Source organism: Homo sapiens, chromosome 11, assembly GCF_000001405.40.
Source record: "Homo sapiens chromosome 11, GRCh38.p14 Primary Assembly".
Classification (NCBI taxonomy): domain Eukaryota; kingdom Metazoa; phylum Chordata; class Mammalia; order Primates; family Hominidae; genus Homo; species Homo sapiens.
In genome coordinates this window covers 114,490,638-114,514,692 of record NC_000011.10, presented here as the reverse complement: position 1 = coordinate 114,514,692, position 24,055 = coordinate 114,490,638, and the positions used below count along the sequence as shown (strand labels likewise).

General features: G+C 38.4%; 1 protein-coding gene and 1 pseudogene across 2 annotated transcripts in view; one reads left to right on the top strand and one right to left on the bottom strand.

Moving 5' to 3' along the window:
• NXPE2 (neurexophilin and PC-esterase domain family member 2) overlaps positions 1 to 24,055 on the bottom strand; it is a 349,427-nt gene that overhangs the window by 299,010 nt on the left and 26,362 nt on the right. Inside the window, exon 1 of one of the 2 annotated variants that reach the window (XM_017017207.2) lies at positions 12,944 to 15,213. The exons of the other annotated variant lie outside the window; for it this stretch is intronic. The gene's annotated coding sequence lies outside the window, so the exon portion shown is untranslated. Of the gene's footprint in view, positions 1 to 12,943; positions 15,214 to 24,055 lie in introns of those variants that run through there. 2 annotated transcript variants of the gene reach the window in all.
• NXPE2P1 (neurexophilin and PC-esterase domain family member 2 pseudogene 1) lies at positions 1,255 to 1,916 on the top strand (annotated as a pseudogene).

Genomic DNA, 24,055 nt, shown 5'->3' with positions numbered 1-24,055 from the left:
TCACAGCTGGACATGGTGGTTCAGGCCTCTAATCCCTGTACTTTGGGAGACTGAGGTGGGAGGATCACTTCAGCCCAGGAGTTTGAGACCAGCCTGGGCAACATAGTGAGACCTCATTCCTACAAAATATCAAAAAATTAGCTGGGTGTGGTGGTGCATGCTGATGGTCCCAGCTACCTGGGAGGCTAAGGCAGGAGGTCACTTGAGCCCAGGAGATGGAGGCTGCAGTGAGACATGATTGTGTCACTGCACTCCAGCCTGGGCAATAGAGTGGTCCTGTCTCAAAAAAGAAAGAAAGAAAGATAATCACTAGAACAAAAACACAAACCTTTCTATTTTTCAGAACAGGGCATGCTTTTAAGCTTCCATTTCCAGGATGCAAATACAAGATTATACTTTCAATACTGTAATAGCAAAAGATTAAGAAAACCTATACGTCCAGCAATGAGAGACTGCTTAAATAATCCATACAGTAGAATGCTGTGCATCCATCTTAATGGATGACTGAGAGAGTTCAGTATGTAGTGAAATGAAAAGACATTCAAAATACATCATTACATAAAAAAGCAAGGCACAGAACAATGCATTTTATGTAAAAAAGAAAACATATGTTATATATGCATGTACACATACATATGTACACATAGACTCTAGAAAGGTATTTATAAGGAGGATAAGAGTGATTAATTTGGGAAGTAAAACTATGTGGCAAGAGACAGGAATGAAAGAGAAATTTATTTCCACACTTCATTCTTTTGTGTCTTTTGAGTTTTGTACCATGTTCACATGATACCGATTCAAAATTTAATGAATTTTTACAAAAAGTCTTTGCATTTCACTGTTGAAAGTGTTAATTTTTTCATTATGATTTTTCCTTTCATTCTGTTAAGACTCAGAAGTGCTGTAATATTTCTTAATAATTACTTCTTTCAATTTGCTATTGTAACCATTTTTTAATCAAACAATTTTTTCTTAGCCATATATTTTTAGGTTCAATGGGTTTTTTAAATGGGTTTTTAACATCCTATGGAATAAGCGGTTAAAGTACAAATGGAACAACTGACTCATGTGATTTACTCAAAACTTTCAGCATTTTAATTATGGCCAATTTTTAGATTGAACACTTCAGTAGTTATATATGAATAAAGATATAAATGCATTATTAAGGTTAATGAAATAAGGACAGGTTCAGCTTCATACACATAATAGGTCACATTCTTTGCCATTTCAGTTTTGGTGAGGACAAGAGATGCCTATCTTTCTTCATCACAGGGATACCTTCCTAATATTCTCTCCTACCATGAAGCACCACTGTGTCCAGAAGTTTCAGCAGCAGAGACTAAGCTAAGAATAAAGGAAATCATGGAGAAACTAGACCAGCTGATCCCACCCAGACCTTTCACCCACATGAACACAACCACCAGTGCTGCACACAGCACAGCCACCATCCTCAACCCTCGAGACACGCACTACAGGAGGCACCAGCTGGACATCCTGCTGGAGGTGAGAGACCACTTGGGACATAGGAAGCAATATGGCAGGGATTTCCTGAGGGCCAGGATGTCCTCTCCAGCCCTGATGGCAGGTGCTTCAGGAAAGGTGATCAACTTCAACAATGGCACCTAACTGGTCAGATTCACTTTGTTCTGGGGGGGGTCAGATACCCCTGTCTCTGCTGCTCACCCACCCCAGTGAAGGAGCATTGACTCTCTGGAGGGCGAGACACCAACACTGTGACAGGATCATCTTCAAGGGCCAGTTTTCCAGCGGCACCTCTCAGGTCAATACTGATTGCGCTCTGGTTTCAAACTCAAGTGCTGAATTGTGCCAGTACCTGCATACCCAAGAAGCCTTCTACTGCTTGAGGCCTCAACGTGTTCCCTGAGAGGCCCTGGCCCATGTGACTACCAGAGACACAGCACAGAAGGGCAGAGCCTTTCACACAAGATTAAACAATCCTTCCAACACAACGTTCAAGTAAACAGGATGTTTTCCTATTAACAACTGCCCCAATCACTTTAATTAACAGTGAACATGGCAATCTTTGTGTCCAAATACATATTGGGTCACAGCCTTGTTCTCCCGAAGGCCACAGTCCTATCAGGTGACCTTCCCCACACAGCTGCTCTCTTTAGTCCTTTAAGCCTGAGGATGGATGGCTCCCGACTGTCGCGAGCCCCAGAGTGCAGCATCACCTCTTGTTGGTGTCCTTCAACTCCACCCTTTATTAAACTTACGTGGCTGCCAAGTTTGACACTAACATCCATTTCCTGCTGGACCCTGACTGACCCAGAGGAAGCTTCATGTGACATGTACTGAAAGAGTTCACAAAACTGACAGAAGACAACATGGCTGGGAATTAGACAGGGGGAAAGTGACAAAAGATGAAGCAGGAAGGTGTCCAGGGCCAGCTGGATCATGGAAAATCTATTAAAGGAGTTTGGAATTTATTTCAAGTAAAACAGGAAGCTATCCAAGCATCCCATTCGAAACATTTTTCTTTTTTCTTATTAACTTGTATTTTATTGAACTTATACATACACAGTATCCAAAACATCAAATTGAGCTAACTATAGCATCAACTATACCAAAAAAATCCCGGCACTTTCTACCATGCTCTCCCCTCCCCCAGATGGAACCACTTTGAATTATTTTAACTGTTTTAAACTATGATATAAGTTTGTTTTGCATTGCTACAAAGGAATACCCAAGAGTGGGTAATTTGTAAAGGAAAGAGGTTCAATTGGCTCATGGTCTCACAGGCTGTATAAACATGGCACCAGCATCTGCTTCTGATGAGGCCTCAGGAAACTTCCACTCATGGAAAGCAAAGGAGGACCCAGCATGTCACATGGCAGGAGAGAGAGCAGGAGAGAGATGAGGTGCCAGGCTCCCTTAAACAACCTGCTCTCACCTAAACTCAGTACCACTCAAAGCCACAGGGAGGGCACCACGCCATTCGTGAGGGATCAGCCCCCATGAGCCAAACACCTTTCACCAGGCCCCACCTCCAACATTGGGGATCACATTTCAACATGAGATTTGGAGGGGATAAATATCCAAACCATACCAACTATTTACCACCACACTTTCTAAATATCATGCTTATGTATCTTGTTCAGCTACATGAATCTCAGTTTTCTGAACAAATGATGAGTTGATATTTTTTAGGTGAAAGAGGCCCAGAGGCAATCCAGGGCTGAGACAGCAGCTAGCTCCCCATTACGCCATCAAGGACCTCTCTGAGACCCCTCTTTCTGCTCAGCCTCCTTGACATGTGACTTTCTTTCTCATGCTTATGGCCTCGGAGTCTCAAGAGAGATGTGCTCCCTCTGGCTATGCAACTGTGTTCCAGGCAAGAAGACGAAGGGCAAAGAGTGAGAGGCGAAGTCACGTTCCAGGCACATCTGCCCACTTCTAACAAGGCTTCCGGGAAGCCCCACCCAGTGACTTCTGATCATGCAGCACTGGCCAGAATGTGTAACACAACCATTCTTAGTGGCAGTAAAAGCAGGAAAATTCATATATTTTTTCCAGTAAGCATATTGCCACCCTACATTGTTAGTAGGAAGGATTCTGAGTAGGTCGCCAACAATGTTTACAACACTGTTATTTCTTGGTTTATCCATCTTGGTATTTTCTATTAATTTCCTAGGTTGGTAGTAGAAGATTTCATTCTCTTCACACAGTTCATTTTCCTTTACTACATTTTCTCATTATAATTATGTACAGTTTTTAAATCAAGTTAGTGTTTGCATTACTAATTAAATTTTAATATCTGTTGAGCCAAGTAGTACACCTTCCTTTCTCTGCCCAAAAAATGTATAAATTTTTTGTTTTACTAAAATTAATAATTGTCTTTATTTGCTTGGTTTTCTGTGTATTTATCTTTAATTTGTTGACATCCTCTATCATATCTGCCAAATTTCTCCAAATTTTATTTTCCAAAATACCAGCACTATCAGACAATGTGCCAAGTCTCTCTTCATGCCTGCAGAAATCTTTCCCAGAATCCTTTATTCATGTATTCCTGTTGGCAATGATTGCTTTCTAACCATGGATCAGCTATCAACATGGGACTCCTTCACCACTACCCTAGGAAACATCTATTGTTTTCACTGCCCACTTGGCCCAAGCATATCTTCTAAAAACTTTCTAAGAAAGGGAAGAAAGGCTGGGTGTGGTGGCTTACACCTGTAATCCTAGCATTTGGGAGCCTAAGGCAGGAGAATCACTTTGAGACCAGCTTGGGCAACAAAGGGAGACCCATCTCTATGAAAAAAAATTAAAAATTAGCTGGGCATGGTGGTGTGCACCTGTAGTCCCAGCTACTTGGGAAGCTAAAGTGGGAGGATCACATAAGCCTAGGAGTTCGAGGCTGCAGTGAGCTATGACTATGATCACACCACTGCACTCCAGCCTAGGTGACAGAGCAAGACCCTGTCTCAAATAAATACATAAAATGGAAAAGAAAATTTTATTTTTACTTCTTGCATATCTAAAAATGTATTCATTCTATCTTTACATTTGTTGGATTATTTGGATGGGTTTAGAATTTTAGATTTATAATAATTTTCCACCAGAACTTTAAAGTCTATTACTTGCTGGTTTTTTGTAACTACAGAGTTCAGTGCCATTATAATTCATAATACATGCTATGTTATCTGTTTTTCTCTCTTCTTTCTTCTTAAAATCATCCCTTTATAATGGTGTTATAACATGACTTTGGGTAGGTAGGATTAGGGACTCTTACTCTTTTTTAACTTTCATTTTAAGTTCGGGGTACATGTGCAGGTTTGTTACATAGGTAAGCTTGTGTCATGGGAGTTTGTTGTACAGATTATTTAATCATCCAGGTATTAAACCTAGTACCCAATAGTTATTTTTACTCATCCTCTTTCCCTCCTCCCACCCTCCACCCTCCAACAGGCCCCTGTGTGTGTTGTCCCCCTCTATGTGTCCATGTGTCTTCGTCATTTAGCTTCCACTTATAAGTGAGAACATGTGGTATCTGGTTTTCTGTTTCTGTGTTAGTTTGCTAAGGATAATGGCCTCCAGCTCTATCCAAGTCCCTGCAAAAGACATGATCTCATTTTTTTTATGGCTGCACAGTATTCCCTGGTGTATATGTACCACATTTTATTTAGCCAGTCTATCACTGATGGGCATTTGGGTTGATTCCATGTCTTTGCTATTGTGAGTAGTGTCACAACGAGCATATGCATGCATGTGTCTTTATAACAGAATGATTTATATTCCTTTGGGTATACACCCAGTAATGGCACTGCTGGGTCGATTGGTATTTCTATGTTTAGGTCTTTAAGGAATTGTCACACTGTCTTCCACAATGGCTGAACTAATTTACACTCCCACTAACAGTGTAAAAGCATTCCTTTTTCTCCACAATCTTGCTGGCATCTGTTGTTGTTTTTTATTTGTTTGTTTGTTTTGACTTTTTGTAATAGCCATTCTGACTGGGGTGAGATGGTATCTCATTGTGGTTTTGATTTGCATTTCTCTAATAAGTAGTGATGTTGAGCTTTGTTTTCATGTTTGTTGGCCACATGTGTGTCTTCTTTTGAAAAGTGTCTCTTCATGTCCTTTGCTCACTTTTTAATGGGGTTGATTTTTTCTTGTAATTTGTTTAAGTTCCTTATAAATGCTGGATATTAAACCTTTGTCAGACGCATCGTTTGCAAAAATTTTCTCTCATTCTGTAGGTTGTCTGCTTACTGTGTTGATAGGGTTTGTTTCTGTTTTTGTTTTTTGCTGTGCTATTTAGTTTAGTTAGATCCCATTTGTCAATTTTGCTTTTGTTGCAATTGCTTTTGGAATCTTCATCATGAAATCTTTGCCTGTGCCTATGTTGTGAATGGTATTGCCTAGACTTTCTTCTAATGTTTTTATAGTTTGGGGTTTTACATTTAAAGATGGTTTTTAATCCATCTTGAGACAATTTTCGTATAAGGTGTAAGGAAGGAGTCCAGTTTCAATCTTCTGCATATGGCTAGCCAGCTACCCCAGCACCATTTATTGAATAGGGAATCCTTTCTCCATTACTTGTTTCTGTCAGACTTGTCAAAGATCAGATGGTTGTAGGTATGCGGTCTTATTTCTGAGTTCTCTATTCTGTGGCATTGGTCTCTGTGTATGTTCTTATACCAATACCTTGCTGTTTTGGTTACTGTAGCCCTGTAGTATAGTTTGCAGTCAGGTAGCATGATGCCTCCAGTTTGTTCTTTTTGCTTAGGATTGCCTTGGCTATTCAGGCTCACTTTTGGTTTCATACAAATTTTAAAATAGTTTTTTCTAGTTCTGTGAAGAATCTCAATGGTAGTTGAATAGGAATAGTATTGAATCTATAAATTGCTTTGGGCAGTATGGCCATTTAACAATATTGACTCTTCCTATACATGAGCATGAAATGTTTTCCCATTTGTTTGTGTCAGCTCTGATTTCTTTGAGCAGTGTTTTGTAGTTCTCCTTATAGAGATCTTTCACCTCCCTAGTTAGGTGTATTCGTAGGTATTTTATTCTTTTTGTGGCAGTTGTGAATAGGAGTTTGTACCTGTTTTGGCTCTTGGCTTGACTGTTGTTGCTGTGTAGGAATGCTAGTGATTTTTTGCACATTGATTTTGTAACCTGAGACTTTGCTGAAGTTCTTTTAACAGCTTAAGAAGCTTTTGGGCTGAGGCTATGGGGTTTTCTAGATATAGCATCATATTGTCTGCAAACAGGGATAGTATGACTTCCTCCCTTTCTATTTGGATGCCTTTATTTATTTCTCTTGCCTGATTGCCCTGGCCAGGACTTCCAATACTATGTTGAATAGGAGTGGCGAGAGAGGGCATCCTTGTCTTGTGTTGGTTTTCAAGGGGAATGCTTCCAGCTTTTGCCCATTCAGTATGATGTTGGCTATGGGTTTGTCATATATGGCTCTTATTTTGAGGTATGTTCCTTCAATATCTAGTTTGCTGAGAGTTTTTAACATGAATGGATGTTGAATTTTACAAAAAGCCTTTTCCATATTTATTGAGATAATCATGTGGTTTTTGTCTTTATCTCTTTTATGTGATGAATCAATCACATTTATTGATTTGTGTATGTTGAACTAACCTTGCATCCCAGGGATAAAGCCTACTTAATCATGGTGGATAAGCTTTTTGATGTGCTGCTGTATTTGATTTGCAAGTATTTTGTTCAAGATTTTTGCATCGATGTTCATCAAGAATATCAGCCTGAAGTCTTATTTTTTTATTGTTGTTGTCTCTCTACCAGGTTTTGGTATCAGTATGAAGCTGGCCTCATAGAATGAGGGAGGAGTCCCTCCTCCTCAATTTGTTGGAGTAGTTTCAGTAGGAATGGTACCAGCTCTTGTTTGTACATCTGGTAGAATTCACCGATGAATCTGTCTGCTCCTGAGCTGCTTTTTTTTTTTTTTTTTTGGTTGGTTGGCAGGCTATTATCACTGCCTCAATTTCAGAGCTTGTTACTGGTCTGTTCAGGGATTCAATTTTTTCCTGGTTCAGTCTTGGGAGTGTGTATGTGTCCAGGAATTTATCCATTTCTTTTAGATTTTCTAGTTTATGTACATAGAGGTGTTTATAATATTCTGTGGTCATCGTTTGTATTTCTTATGGGTCAGTGGTAATATTCCCCTTGTCATTTCTGATTGTGTTTATTTGAATCTTTTCTTTTTTCTTAGTCTAGCTAGTGGTCTATTTTATTAATTTTTTCAAAAAACCAGCTCCTGGATTTGTTGATCTTTTGCAGGGTTTTTTTGTGTCTCAATCTCCTTCAGTTCAGCTCTGATTTTGGTTATTTCTTGCCTTCTGCTAGCTTTGGGATTTGTTTGCTTCTGGTTCTCTAATTCTTTTAGTTGTGATGTTAGGTTGTTAATTTGAGACCTATCTAACTTTTTGATATGGGTGTTTAGTGTTATTAATTTCCCTCTTGACACTGCCTTAGCTGTGTCCCAGAGATTCTGGTATGTGATATCTTTGTCCTCATTAGTTTCAAAGAACTTCTTGATTTCTGCCTTAATTTCATTATTTACCCAAAAGCCATTCAGTAGCAGGTTATTCAATTTCCATGTAATTGTATAGTTGTGGGTGAATTTCTTAGTCTTGATTTCTAATTTGATTGTGATGTGGTCCAAGAGTCTGTCTTTCATGATTTCAGTTCTTTTGCATTTGCTGAGGAGTGTTTTACTTCCAATTATGTGATCGATTTAAAAGTATGTGCCATGTGGCAATGAAAATAATATATATTCTGTTGTTTCTGGGTGGAGAGTTACATAAATATCTATCAGGTCTATTTGATCCAGTGCTGAGTTCAGTTCCTGAATACCTTTGTTAATTTTCTGTCTTAATGATCTGTCTAATACTGTCAGTGGGGCATTAAAGTCTCTGACAGTTATTGCATGAGAGTCTAAGTCTCTTTGAAGGTCTCTAAAAACTTGCTTTATGAATCTGGGTGCTCCTGTGTTGGGTGTATATGTATTTAAGTTGGCTAGATCTTCTTGTTGAATTGAACTCTTTACCATTTGAACTTTTTAACTTCTTTTTTTTTTTTTTTTTTAATATTTCTTGGTTTAAAGTCTGTTTTGTTAGAAACTAGGACTGCAACCCCTGCTTTTTTTCTGTTTTCCATTTGCTTGGTAGATTTTTCTCCATTTCTTTATTTTGAGCCTATGTGTGTCATTGCATGTGAGATGGATCTCTTGAAGACAGCATACCAATAAATCTTTGTTCTTTACCCAGCTTGCCATTTTGTGTCTTTTAAATGGGGCATTTAGCCCATTTACATTCAAGGTTATTATTGGTATATGGGGATGTAATTCTGTCATCATGATGTTGGCTGGTTATTTCACAGACTTGTTTATATGGTAGCTTTATAGTGTCACTGCTCTGTGTACTTCAGTGTGTTTTTTAGTGGCTGGTAACAGTCTTTCCTTTCCATATTGCTTCCTTCAGGAGCTCTTGTAAGGCAGATCTGGTGGTAAGAAATTCCCTCAGCATTTGCTTGTCTGAAAAGGATCTCATTTCTCCTTTACTTATGAAGCTTAGTTTGGCTAGATATGAAATTCTAGGTTGGAATTTCTTTTCTTTAAGAAATTTTGAATATTGACCCTCAATCTCCTCTGGCTTGTAGGGTTTCAGCTGAGAGGTCTGCTGTTCATCTGATGGGCTTCCCTTTGTATATGACCTGGCCTTTCTCTCTGGCTGCCTTTAACATTTTTTCTGTCATTTTGACCTTGGAGAATCTGATGATCATATGTCTTGGGGATAATCTTTTTGTGAAGTATTTTACTGGGGTTCTCTGCATTTCCCGAATTTGAATGTTGGCCTCTCTAGCTAGGTTGGGGAAGTTCTCATGGCTGATATCCTGAAATACGTTTTCCAAGTGGGTTCCATTCTCCCCATTTCTTTCAGGTACACCAATCAGTTGTAGATTCAGTCTCTTTACATAATCCCACATTTATCAGAGGTTTTGTTCATTCCTTTTTTTTTCTCTCTATTCTTGTCTGCCTGTCTTATTTCAGAAAGCCAGTCTTCAAGCTCTGAGTGTTTCCTCTGCTTGGTCTATTCTGCTATTAATACTTGCATTATGAAATTCTTATAGTGTGTTTTTCAGTTCTATCAGGACAGCTACATTCTTCTGTATACTGGCTATTTTGTGTGTCAGTTCCTGCAATGCTTTATCATAATTTTTAGCTTCCTTGTATTGGGTTACAACATACTCCTGTAGTTCATTGAACTTCATACCTGTCCATATACTAAATTCTACTTCTGTCATTTCAGCCATCTCAGCCTCAGCTGGGTTTCAAACTCTTGCTAGAGAGATGATGCTATCCTTTGGAGGAAAGAAGGCACTCGAGCTTGTTGAGTTTTCAGCATTCCTTGCGCTGATTATTTCTCATCTTTGTGGGCTTATCTACCTTCAATCTTTGAATTTTTTTCCTTTGTCCTATTTGATGATTTTGAGGGTCTGATTGTGATATAAAGCATATTAAGCCAGCTGGCTTCATTTCTGGGAGATTTTAGGGGGCCAACACTCAGCTCCCAACTCCTGGAGTGCATGTTCTAATGTAGGGGACTTGTACTGGGCCTGACTTTGTTCTCTAGCTCCTCAAGGTTTGGAGTCCACTGTGCTGGGGGTGCCAGGGTGTGGCAGCAACAGCATAGTGCTAGAGAATGTGGGGGTACCTGCTTCCCTGGTGGGCGTTCACCACAGCGATAGAGGCAAGGCAGTTGGTGAGGGTGTGGGGGGGCCCTGCTGGAGACTGTGTGTGCTGTTGCACTGGAGGTGGCATTGGCTTGGGGTGGCACAGGTCTGGATGCCTTCTCTGTGCCCCATAAGCAGGAGTGATCACTCAGGGTATAGGAGGATCCCCTGTTTTCAGTACAGGATTTGTGCAAGGGTGGGGCTCTGGCTAGGTGGGGCTTCCTGGCTCTGTGCTGGCCAAAGATTTGTCTGCAACAGCCATCACTGGGGGTTGGGGGGTTGCATACTGCACTGCTACTGGCAGGGCAAATGAAGCAAAACCCACCCCTGCAGACACACATCAATGAAGTGATGTGGGCAGTTGCCGTGGGCTCAGGGGAAGCTGCAGTATAGGGGGGAAACTTGCAGGCTGATGTGTGGCCATAGAGGCCACCTCTCTGGAGCTTTCCACTGGTCAGGCACAGTCCACAGGCACAGAAGCTATGGTGTGGGCCTCCAGAGCCCCCCAAGACTGCCCTGTAAGCAGGCAAGGCCAGGCTGGGGCCATGGGAGAGGCCAGTAGACCAAAGAGTGCTCAGGTTAGACCAGCCCTGTCTGATGTGCAAGACTACCCTGCAGAGATCAGGTCTGACAGTAGGGACTTTTTCATTTATTGTATTGGATACACTATGGACCTTTTCAAACTAGAGAGCAGTGTTCTTAATTTCAGAGATATTGTATTATTATTTCCTTGATAACGGCCTCCCTGCCAATTTCTCTATTCTCTTCTTCCGTAATTCCTGATACTTCAATATCGTATCTCTTGGATTTATCTTCTAAGCTTCTTAATTTTTAAACTTTATACCTCTTTATATTTTTGCTATATTTTCTGCAAAATTATCTTGACATATCTTTTGGCACTTCTATTCATGGTTTTTTTTTAGTCATCAACTTTTTTCATCTTAAAAAGATCCTACTTGTTCTCTGAATGTTCTTTTTCACAGAATTCAGTTGTTTCCTGGATACAACATTTTCCCTGATTTCTATGAATATATTCATTTTATTACTAATACGCATTTTATTTAAAGTTTTATTTTATTCTTGAAATTGTCTCCGTCTCTTCTAGGTTCCTTTTATCTGTGTGACTATTCGGTTTCTCTTTCACACAGGAAATGTTTATCAAATACCTGAAATCCTTAGCCATCTCCTCATACCATTATGATATTCACTTAAAAAGCCACCTGGATGCTCTATGTATATGGATGGGACTGATTAATAGGGCAATCTCACTGTGCAGTGATAAGGTGGCAAACAGGTCTATTCATCAGGACTTACACCCCCAAATAGCAGCATCTGAAGCTTTTTTCTTGGCCTGCTCAATTTCTTATGAAAAAAAAAAAAGGTATCTAACCTCTGAGGAGTGCAGCTCCTAGCCAAAATCCTATGTGTGATCTTTCAGGCCCAATCATAGGTGCCAAGACCACTTTATCTGGGAGACTTGAAGACACATTTCTCCACTGTGACTCAGTATTCACTGCTTTTCCACTCCTAGCCACTCCCAGTGGCTAAAAGAGTAAATAAATAAGTAAGCAAGCTGGGGATAATAATTCTCCCAGGGAAACTTAAAAGAAACAAATCAAACTCTTTCTGAATTCTCACACAAAAGCCAAACCACACAGGTTTTTCATAGGTAATGTCCTACCAATCATAAGATCACAATCTAGAATTACACAAGAAAACCATCTGCCATAAGCAAAAATAGAAGGATTTCATGGAATTAGATCTCCAAGGAATTCATATGAGAGTCATCATGGAAAACTATAAGCATTTAAAATTACAAAATAGAATCAAATATATGTGAAAGAAGAAACTAGAAAAAACATCACACAGGTTGGCAAAAGTATACTTCCAGATATGAAAAATATAGTCATTAAAATAGCAAATAACAGTAATATTATAAAGTCTCATAATCTTAGAAAGTCCCTAATCTTATAAATTCTGTGGATGGGTCAAACAGCACATTAGACAAAGATGAAGACAGAAACAGTGAAACTGAAGATAGACCTGAATAAATTACTCAGAATATAGTGCAAAGAGGATGGAAATATAAAAATAAGGCTAGAGACATGAAGTATATAATGAGAAAGTCTAGAATGAGCCTTTTGTGGGGGGAGTGAAGAATTTGAAAAGATAATTAAGAATTTTCTAGAAGAAATATGTGAATACTTAGATTAAGACTCCCAATGAGTCCCAGGCAGCATAAAGAGAAGTAAATCTACACCTAGGCACAGTACAGAACACCCAAGAGATATAAAATGGTCACATATTTCTTGTATGTGTCAAGTATGTGACACTTGTATGTGTCACAGTTAGGAGGAGTGCTAACTGGCATTTAGTGGGTAGAGACCAGAGATGCTGCTAAACGTGTTACAATGCACAAGACAGCTTCCCACAACAAAGAGTTTTTCAGCCCAAAATGTCAATAGTGCAATGGTTAGGAAACACTGTCTTAGACAAATAATGTGAAAGAAGATTTTTCACAAGGGACTACTTGGCACCTACTTTTGACAGCACAGAGATTTCCCAAAGCAAAATGTCCCACATCAAGTTCATGTTCTTTCCAGCCAAACCCTGGACTTCTTTTATTGTTCTCTGTCTCAGGAAAAAGTACCAGCATTCATTCTAATGTTCTCACTGATACGTTGAGATACTAAGTCTCTTCCAAAGCCCTTCTTACCTCCAAAGCCCTTCTCTCTGATCTTGAGCTACAGTGCACTTCATTTGACAGCTCTCTTGGCCTTCTTGGAGCTTTTCTGATCCATTAGCCCTGAAATAAGTAAGACACTGACTTTCATAGTCCCAAAGATTCCTCCATGAATTTTTAAGTCACTATATTTGAACAGCAGAACAGTCATTCAGAATTCAATGGTTTTTGTAACTTGTAAAATACCTTAAATATACTACAATAACCATAAATATTATATTCTCTCAAGTCAAAAGGTCATTCAAAGATAACCTGAGATTTGTGGTGATTTCAATGCTTGAGAGAAAAACAGGCTAATTATCTCTTCCCCTTTCTTGAGGGTTGATTCTGTACACTGAAATAATGAAAAGCTTTGAATCCACTGAGGGCTTAGAGAGTAACAGCTTTTTGCTGTAAGGGGTAGTGCTTAGAGCAATGGCTTCCAAATTGACTGGATGTCTCAGAATCACCTGGAAGAGCTTTCTAAAAACAGAAACTATCCAGTTTCTACAGTGAAAATTAGGTCTGGGGTGGCGTTCCAAAATCTGCATTGTTTTAAAAAAACTCCCCAAGTATACTGCTAGGTTTCAGAACTACTTTAAAGGATGGACATTCCTACCCAGGTGAATAACTATTTGGCGTCATTGCTGACATGGCCCTAAAATAATGGTTTTCTGTGTCATAAGTTAGAGTTGTCGTTAAAGATGTCAGCATATTCCTAAATAATTCAGGGGTCAAAGAGAGTATCAAATACAGAAGCTTCAAACTGCAAGTATAGAAACAGAATAGAAAGTCCAGAAAAAGACCCACAAAACACACTCAACTGATTTTCAACAAAGTCACCAAAATAATTCCATAAGGAATGGACAGTCTTTTCTACAAATGGTGTTGGAACAACTGGATATCCAAATGGGAGAAAAAATAATGAACCCTGACCTCTCCTTCATACCAATTCATACCACTTCATACCAAATATAAAAATTAATTTGGGATGAATGATGGGATCAAGCACAAAACTATAAAGCTGCAAGAAGAAAACAAATTTACAATATTTAGGTAAGTAAGGATTTCTTAAGTAAAACACAAAAAGCAATAACCATAGAAGAAAAAGTGATAAAAATGAACTGCATTAAAACTAAGATCTTCTATTCTTCAAAAGACACTGTAAAAAAGATAAATCACAGACTAGAAGAAAATATTACAATACGTAAATCTGACAACTTATATCCAGAATATGTGGAGAACACTTACAACTCAAATAACAAAGAAAACAGACAACCCATTTTTTTAATGGGTTGTCTGAACAAAAGGACTGAACTAACCTTTCATCATACAAAAGTATATGAATGGCCAATAAGTACGCAAAAAGATGTTCAATATCATTATCCATCAAGCAAATACAAATTAAAAACACATGATATGCTACTTTGTACCCAATAAAGTTGCTAAAACTTAAAAGACTGACAATATCAATTATTAATACTGATGTGGAATAACTGGAAGTCTCATGCATTTCTGTATGGAATATATATATGGTACAAAGACTAGAAAACAGTTTGTCAGTTTCTGATAAAATTAACCATACCCCTTGGCCCAGAAATTCCACTAAATATGCACCCCCAAAAAATAAAAACATGTCCACAGAAAGATTTTTAAAGGAATTCCTATAGCAACTTTATGCATAATAGCCAAAAAACTGGAAACAACCCAAAAGTTCATCTAGAGACAGGATAACAAATTGTGGTATAGTCATACCATGGAATGCTACTCAGCAATTAAAAAAAAAAAAGAATGAACTGCTGATATAAGCAACACAATGGATTAACCTCAAAATCACTTTGCTGAGGGAAAGAAGCCAGACACAAAAGAGCACATACTGTAAGATTTCATATACACAAAGCCCAACAATCAATGAAATGAATCAGTAGGGACAGAAATCAGCAGCAATTGTCCATGAGGAGTTGGAACTGACTGGAAGGTGACATGAGAGAACATTTGGGGTAGTGAAAGCGTTCTGTGTCTTGGGTGGTGTGTTGGTTACACAGACATACGTATTTGTCAAAACTCACCAAACTGCACAATTAACATATGTGCATTTCACTCTGTATAAATTTTACTTCATTAAAAAATTCATCTAATTGTACCCTTAAGATACGTATTTTCTTGCTTGTAAATTATACTTGTTACAAAAGCTTAAAAATGCAGTTACAGGCTATTAAATCTATAAATGCAGCAAAATCTACAAATCAAAATTGATATGGAGACAAATATTTTCAGAAGAAATTTTATAGCCTTAAATATATTCATTTTTAAAAATAGAAAATGAAAATGAATTTTAAAAATGGCAAAAAACAAGATGAGAAAAACCTAAGAGATCAAGAGAAATTATTAGAAAATAAAAATAGATTTGATAAATACATCCAAGAGCTAATGTCTTTGCAAATATCAATAAAATGGACAAGCCTCTTGCAGATTTAAACAACAGAAAACACATTCAAAACATTAAAAGCAAGAATTAGGCTTTATTCACAGATATAGAAGTATGTTATAATGGTGTAAGAAATTTAAACACAGTAATCTAAGCTAAAAATCCTGAAAATAAGGATGAGACGTGTGATTTTCTAAAAACACATAAACTTAAATGACTTGAGAAAACAGTTCATCTGGATATCAATAACCATGGGAGAAGTTGAAATTTTTGCCTAAGAAATAACTCCAAAAGCTGTATCATATCCAGACAATTTTACAAGTGAGTCCTATTGAAGCTTCAAGGAAAGACAATTAACATGCAATTTAAATTGTTCCAGAGCAGAGAAAAAGATGGCACACTTCCAATTCATTTTCTCAAACCACCAATACTCTAATACCAAAGCCCACACATAAATACAGCACAAAAAAGGAAATCACAAACTAATCTCACTATTAATATAAATAACATGCTAATCCACTAGCATGTTAAAAACACCAGTCAATTAATTAGTCACATCAATACCTCTGAAGATTAAAAATAATTATTTCAATAATTGCAAAGATTAAAAATAATTAAAATGAAAGCAATATTAAAATAAATACAAAAGCTGCCTGAAAATAGAAGAAAACTTCCTTAATCTAATAGAGAATAGTTATTGCATATTGATAGCCAATATTATGGTTAATGATAAAATACAGAGTGCACTCTCATTAAATTCAGGAAGAAGAGCAGTGTGCTCATTACTCTTTTGCATTTTTCTGTAAGTTATAGCCAATGTAATGAAGGACAATAATTTTTTAATTGATGGTTTTTTATTAATTATTACAGATACATAATAGTTACACACATTTATGTAGTACATGTGATATACTGATACAAGCATACAATGTCTAATGATCAAATCAGGATAATTGGGATCTCTATCACCTCAAGTATTTATCATTTTTTTGTGTTAGAAACATTCCAATTCCATTTGTTCAGTTATTTTAAAATATACAATAAATTATTGTTAAATGGGGATAAATGTGTCTCTATTTTCAAGTGATTCTTCTCTATACGGAAAAACCAGAGTAAACAAAATGAAAATGTACTAGTAGAAGTCAGTAAGATAATTAGTTTAAGAAGATACAAAAATCAGCAATATAGATATAGATATTGACATCGATACAGAAAATAGATATACATAGATCTCAACAGTAATCACTTAAGAAATTTAACAGGAAAAAAGTTCCATCTTTAACAATAATCAGAAACATGCAATACATAAGAAACATCCTAACAAGAAATGCAAAACATCTTATATAATGAAAACTACCAAACTTCACTGAGGCCCAAAAAAGAAAACCTGTTTATTAGTATGTTTTATAACATAAACATAAGGCAATTTAAATGAAGATACCAATGAAATGCTTAAGAAGTAAACTCAATGATTTCAATGTTCATGTGAAAGAATAAACAAGTTATAACTGACATAAATTATTTTAAACGATGCTTAATAGCATAATAAAATATGTGGAATATCTCTGTATTTTACCAAATACAGTTATGCATTGCTTAATAACAAGGATATATTCTGAGAAATGCATCAAGCAATGTTGTTGTTGTACAAGAGTGTTCTTACACAAACCTAGATGGCATAGCCTACCACACACCTAGGCTATATGATATTGCCTATTGCTCCTAGGCTACAAACCTGTACAGCATTTATCGTATTGAATACTGTAGGCAACTGTAACACAATGATAAATATTTGTGTATTTAAACATATCTAAACATAGAAAAAGTACGGTTAAAATATAGTATAAAAGATAAACAATGGTACACCTGTATAGGGTACTTACCATAAATGGAGCTTGCAGGACTGGAAGTTGCTCTGACTGAGTCAGTGAGTGGTGAGTAAATGCGAAGGCCTAGGACATTATACACACTATTATAAAGTTTATAAACATTTGCACTTGCTGTACGAAAACACTTTTTTCTTTATATCTTTATAAGCTTTCTTCTAATTTTAAATTATTTTTCTTTTTAAATTTTGCTAAAAATTAAGACACAAACACACACATTACTCTAGGCCTACACAGGGTCAGGATCATCAATATCACTGTCTTCCACCTTCACATCCTGTCTGACAGTGAGGTGCACAGCAGCAGTAACATGGGGGGGTCATCTCCTATAATAACAACGCCCTCTTCTGGAATACCTCCTGCAGGACCTGCCTGAGGCTGTTTTAATAAGTAGAAAAAGTACACTCTGAAATAACAATAAAAAGTATCATATAGTAAATACATAAACCAGTAACATAATCGTTTATTATCATTATCAATAATGTACTATACATAATTGTGTATGTTATACTTTTATATGACTGGTAGCACAGGTTTGTTTACACCAGCATCAGCACAAAGACGTAAGTAACATTACACTACAATGTTACGACAGCTACTACATCACTAGGCAATAGGAATTTTTCAGCTCCATTATAATCTTAAGAGACCACCATCATATATGTGGTCTGTTGTTCATCAAAACATTACACAGCAGGTGACTATCAAAATGTACTATAAAGACACGCATATTAGAGTAATTGGGTATTGTAATAGGGATAGAAAATCAAGAATCAGAACCAATTATATATAACAACTACTTCTATGATTAAAAAACAAAACAAAACAAAATGTTGAGGAGGTGGAACCAAATGGCCAAATGGAAGCCTCCTGTGATCCTCCCCACTGCAGAAACAACAAATTGAACAACTATCCATACAATAAAGAACCTAAAGAACCAAAAATCAGATGAGGGATATCACAGTACCTGGTTTTAACATCATATTAAGGAAAGAGAAACTGAAGAGGGTAGGAAAGACAGTCTTGAATTGCCTATGCCACCCCTTCCCCAGCAGCAGTGGCATGGCATAGAGGGAAAATCTGTGCACTTGGGAAGGGAGAGCACAGTGATTGTGGGACATAGCATTGAAACTAAGTCCTGCCCTGGAAAGCAACATGGGACAGAACTCAGCTGGCACCCACAGAGGGAGCATTTAGACCAGCCCTAATGAGAGGCAAGTTGTCCATCCCAGAAATAAGGACCTGAGTTCCAGCAAGACCCACCACCATGGGCTAAAAAGCTCTGGGGTGGGGTCCTAAATTAATTTGAAAGGCAATCTAGGCCAAAGGGATTGCAACTCCTGGGCAAGTCCTGGTGCTATGCTGGGCTTGGAGTCAGCTGACTTGGGGTGCACATGACCAAGTGAGATACCAGCTGCTATGGCCAGGAGAGTGCTTGTGTCATCTGTCTCCCAACCCCAAGCAGTGCAGCTTGCAGCTCCAGGAGAGACTTATTTCCTGCGCTCAAGGAGAGGACAGAGACAAGTAAAGAGGACTTTGTCTTGCAACTTGGAAACCAGATGAGCCACAGTAGGATAGGGCACCAGGCAGAATCCTACAGCCCCCAGTCCAGATCCCAGCTCCCAGACATTTCTAAACACACCCTGGGGAATAAGGGAACCCCTTGCGTTAAAGTGAAAGACCTAGTCCTGGTGAAATTCATCGTCTACTAACTAAAGAGCCCTTAGGCCCTGAATAAGCTAATAGTAGTCAGGCAGTACTCACTTCAGGCCTTGGGTGAGACTCAGAGCCATGCTGGCTGCAGGTGTGACCCAGCACATTCTCAGCTGTGGTGGCTATAGGAAGATACTGCTTCTGCTTGAGGAAAGAAGGAAGAGTAAAGGGGACTTTGTTTTGCAGCTTGGGTACCAACTTGGTTACAGTGGGGCAGAGCACCAAGTGGGCTCCTGGGGTAGGGGCGGCCATGAGGAGAGACCCTTCTGCTTGAGGAAAGAGTGGAGAAAACTTTTGTCTTGTGGTTTGGGTCCAGTTCAGCCACAGTAGAACAGAGCACTAAGGTTCTCAACTATAGGCCCGGGCCCCTGAATGGCATCTCTGGACCCACCAGCAGCCAGAGAGAACTCACTGCCCTGTGAGGAAGGACGTAAGCCTGGCTGGATTTCCCACCTGCTGACTGTAGAAGCTCTTGAACCTTGAGCGAACATAGGCAGTAGCCAGGCAGTGGTCACTGCAGGCCTTGGGTGAGACCCAGTGCTGTGCTGGTTTCAGGTCTGATCCAGCACCGTCCCACTGGTGGTGGCCACAGAGGTGCTTGTGTCACTCCTCCCCCAGCTCCAGGCAACTCAGCATAAAGACAGAGACTTTTGTTCGCTTGGGTGAAAGTAAAGGAAGAGAACAAAAATGTCTGCCTGGCAATCCAGAGAATTCTCCCAGATCTCACCCAAAACCACCAAGGTGGTACCTCTGAGTCTGCAAGAGCCACAGTATTACTGGGTTTAGGGTGTGCCCTAAAGCCAGTATGGTTGCAGTGACCAAAGACTTACATCACAACACACAAGTCCCTCCGAGCACCTGGAAAGCCTTCCCAAGAAGGACAGGTGCACACAAGCCCAGACCATGAAGACTACAATAAATACCTAACTCTTCAATGCCCAGACACTGAAGAACATCCACATGCGTCAAGAACATTCAGGAAAACATTAACTTCCTAAATAAACTAAATACACCAGTAACAAATCCCAGAGAGGAAGAGATACGCGACCTTTCAGACAGAGAATTCAAAACAGCTGTTTTAAGGAAGCTCAACAAAATCCAGGATAACAGAGAAGAAAGTCAGAATCATATCAGATACATTGAACAAAGAGATTGAAATAATTAAAAAGAATCTAGCAGAAATTCTGAAGCTGAAAAAGGCAATTGGTCTATTGAAGAATGCATCATAGTCTCTTAGTAGCAAAATGATCAAGGAGAAGAAAGAATTAGTGAGTTTGAATACAGGCTATTTGAAAATACACAGCCAGGGAGACAAAAGAAAAAAAAGAATAAAAAAGAAGAAAGTAAGCCTACAACATCTAGAGTCTCAAAAGAGCAAATCTAAGAGGTATTAGCCTTAAAGAGGAGGTGGATAACGAGATAGGGGTAGAAAGTTTATTCAAAGAGATAACAACAAAGAACTTCCCAAACCTAGGGAATATATCAATATTCAAGTACAAAAAGGATATAAGATATCACGCAGATTTAATCCAAAGAAGACGACCTCAACGCATTTAATAATCAAACCCCCAAAGGTCAAGGATTTAAAAATGATCCTAAAAGCAGCAAGAGAAAAGAAACAAGTAACATATTATGGAGCTCTAATATGTCTGGCAGCAGACTTCTCAGTGGAAACCTTACAGGCCAAGAGTGAGTGGCATAACATATTCAGTGCTGAAGGAAAAAACTTTTACCATAGAATAGTATATCCAGCAAAAAAATCCTTCAAATATGAAGGAGAAACTAAGACTTTCCCAAACAAAAGCTGAAGGATTTCATCAATACCAGACCTTTTCTATAAGAAATGATAAAGGGAGTTCTTCAGTCTGGAAAAAAAAGGGGGTAAATGAGCAATATAAAATCATGTGAAGGTATTCATTAATAATAGTAAAAACACAGAAAAATACAGAATATTATAACACCGTAATTGTAGTGTATAAACTATATCATGAGTAGAAAGACTAAATGATGAACAAATAAAAAATAATAACTACAACTTTTCAAGACATAGTATACAGTATAAATAAAAACAAAAAGTTAAAAAGCAAGAAGATAAAGTGTAGTGTTCACATTAGTTTACTCTTGGCTTGTTATTTTGTTGTTTGCACAATCAGTGTTAAGTTGTCATCGGTTCAAAATGATGGGTTATAAGATATTATTTGAAAACCTCACAGTAACAAATCAAAAAACATACAACAGTTACACAAAATAAAAAGCAAGAAGTTAAAACATACCACCTGAGAAAATCACCTTCACTAAAAGGAAGACATGAAGACGGGAAAGAAGGAAGAGAAGACCAGAAAGTAACCAGAAAACAAATAACAAAATGGCAGGAGTAAGCCCTTGCTTATCAATAATAACATTGAATGTAAATGAACTAAACTCTTCAATCAAAAGTAACAGAGTGGCTGAAAGGATAAAAACAAAAAGACAAAATAATCTGTTGCCTACAAGAAACATACTTCACCATAAGACATACATAGACTGAAAATACAGGGATGGAAAAAGACATTTCATGCTAATGGAAACCAAAAAAGTTTTTAAGTATAGCAGGAGTAGCTATACTTATATCAAATAAAATAGATTTCAAGACAAAAACTATAAAAAGAGACAAAGAAGGGCATTATATAATAATAAAATGGTCAATTCAGAAAGAGGATATAACAATTGTGAATATATATGTACTCAACATTGGAGCACCCAGATATGTAAAACAAATATTATTAGAGCTAAAGAGAACAAAAACTCCAATACAATAATAATTGGAAAATTTAACACCCCAATTTCAGCATTGGACAGATCATCCAGACAGAAAATCAACAAAGAAACATTGGACTTAGGCTGGGTGCAGTGGCTCATGCCTGTAATCCCAGCACTTTGGGAGGCCAAGGCAGGCGGATCACGAGGTCAAGAAATTGAGACCATCCTGGCTAACACTGTGAAACCCCGTCTCTACTAAAAATACAAAAAAATTAGCCAGGCATGCTGGCGGGTGCCTGTAGTCCCAGCTACTTGGGAGGCTGAGTCAGGAGAATGGCGTGAACCCAGGACGCGGAGCTTGCAGTGAGCCGAGATCGTGCCACTGCACTCCAGCCTGGGCGATGGAGCAAGACTCCGTGTCAAAAAAAAAAAAAAAGAAAAAGAAACATTGGACTTAATCTGCACTACAGATCAAGTTGACCTAACAGATATTTAGAGAACATTTCATCCAATGCCTACAGAAAACACATTCTTCTCAGCACCTGGATAATTCTCAAGGATGGACCATATGTTAGGCCACAAAAAAGCCTTTAAAGACTTTTTTAAAACTGAAATTATATCAAGTATCTTTCTGAAAACAATGGAATAAAACTACAAATCGATAACAAGAGGGATTTTTGGAAACTATACAAATACACGAAAATTAAACAATATGCTCTTAAATAATAAAGATCAGAGCAGAAATAAAATTCAAACAAAAAATACAAAATATCAACAAAATGGAAAGTTGATGTTTTTATTTTATTTATTTTATTATTATTATACTTTAAATTTTAGGGTACATGTGCACAATGTGCAGGTTTGTTACATATGTATACATGTGCCATGTTGGTGTGCTGCACCCATTAACTCATCATTTAGCATTAGGTATATCTCCTAATGCTATCCGTCCCCCCTCCCCCGACCACACAACAGTCCCCAGAGCGTGATGTTCCCCTTCCTGTGTCCATGTGTTCTCATTGTTCAATTCCCACCTATGAGTGAGAATATGCGGTGTTTGGTTTTTTGTCCTTGCAATAGTTTGCTCAGAATGATGGTTTCCAGCTTCATCCATGTCCCTACAAAGGACATGAACTCTTCATTTTTTATGGCTGCATAGTATTCCATGGTGTATCTGTGCCACATTTTCTTAATCCAGTCTATCATTGTTGGACATTTGGGTTGGTTCCAAGTCTTTGCTATTGTGATTAGTGCCTCAATAAACACACGTGTGCATGTGTCTTTATAGCAGCATGATTTATAATCCTTTGGGTATATACCCAGTAATGGGATGGCTGGGTCACATGGTATTTCTAGTTCTAGATCCCTGAGGAATCGCCACACTGACTTCCACAATGGTGGAACAAGTTTACAGTCCCACCAACAACGTAAAAGTGTTCCTATTTCTCCACATCCTCTCCAGCACCTGTTGTTTCCTGACTTTTTAATGATCGCCATTCTAACTGGTGTGAGATGGTATCTCATTGTGGTTTTGATTTGCATTTCTCTGATGGCCAGTGATGATGAGCATTTTTTCATGTGTTTTTGGCTGCATAAATGTCTTCATTTGAGAAGTGTCTGTTCATATCCTTCGCCCACTTTTTGATGGGGTTGTTTTTTTCTTGTAAATTTGTTTGAATTCTTTGTAGATTCTGGATATTAGCCCTTCGTCAGATGAGTAGGTTGCGAAAATTTTCTCCCATTCTGTAGGTTGCCTGTTCACTCTGATGGTAGTTTCTTTGGCTGTGCAGAAACTCTTTTTTTTTTTTTGAGACGGAGTCTCGCTCTGTCGCCCAGGCCGGACTGCGGACTGCAGTGGCGCAATCTCGGCTCACTGCAAGCTCTGCTTCCCGGGTTCACGCCATTCTCCTGTCTCAGCCTCCCAAGTAGCTGGGACTACAGGCGCCCGCCACCGCGCCCGGCTAATTTTTTGTATTTTTAGTAGAGACGGGGTTTCACCTTGTTAGCCAGGATGGTCTCGATCTCCTGACCTCATGATCCACCCGCCTCGGCCTCCCAAAGTGCTGGGATTACAGGCGTGAGCCACCGCGCCCGGCCGCAGAAACTCTTTAGTTTAATTAGATCCCATTTGTACATTTTGGCTTTTGTTGCCATTGCTTTTGGCGTTTTAGACATGAAGTCCTTGCCCATGCCTATGGCCTGAATGGTACTGCCTAGGTTTTCTTCTAGGGTTTTTATGGTTTTAGGTCTAACATTTAAGTCTTTAATCCATCTTGAATTAATTTTTGTATAAGGTGTAAGGAAGGCATCCAGTTTCAGCTTTCTGCATATGGCTAGCCA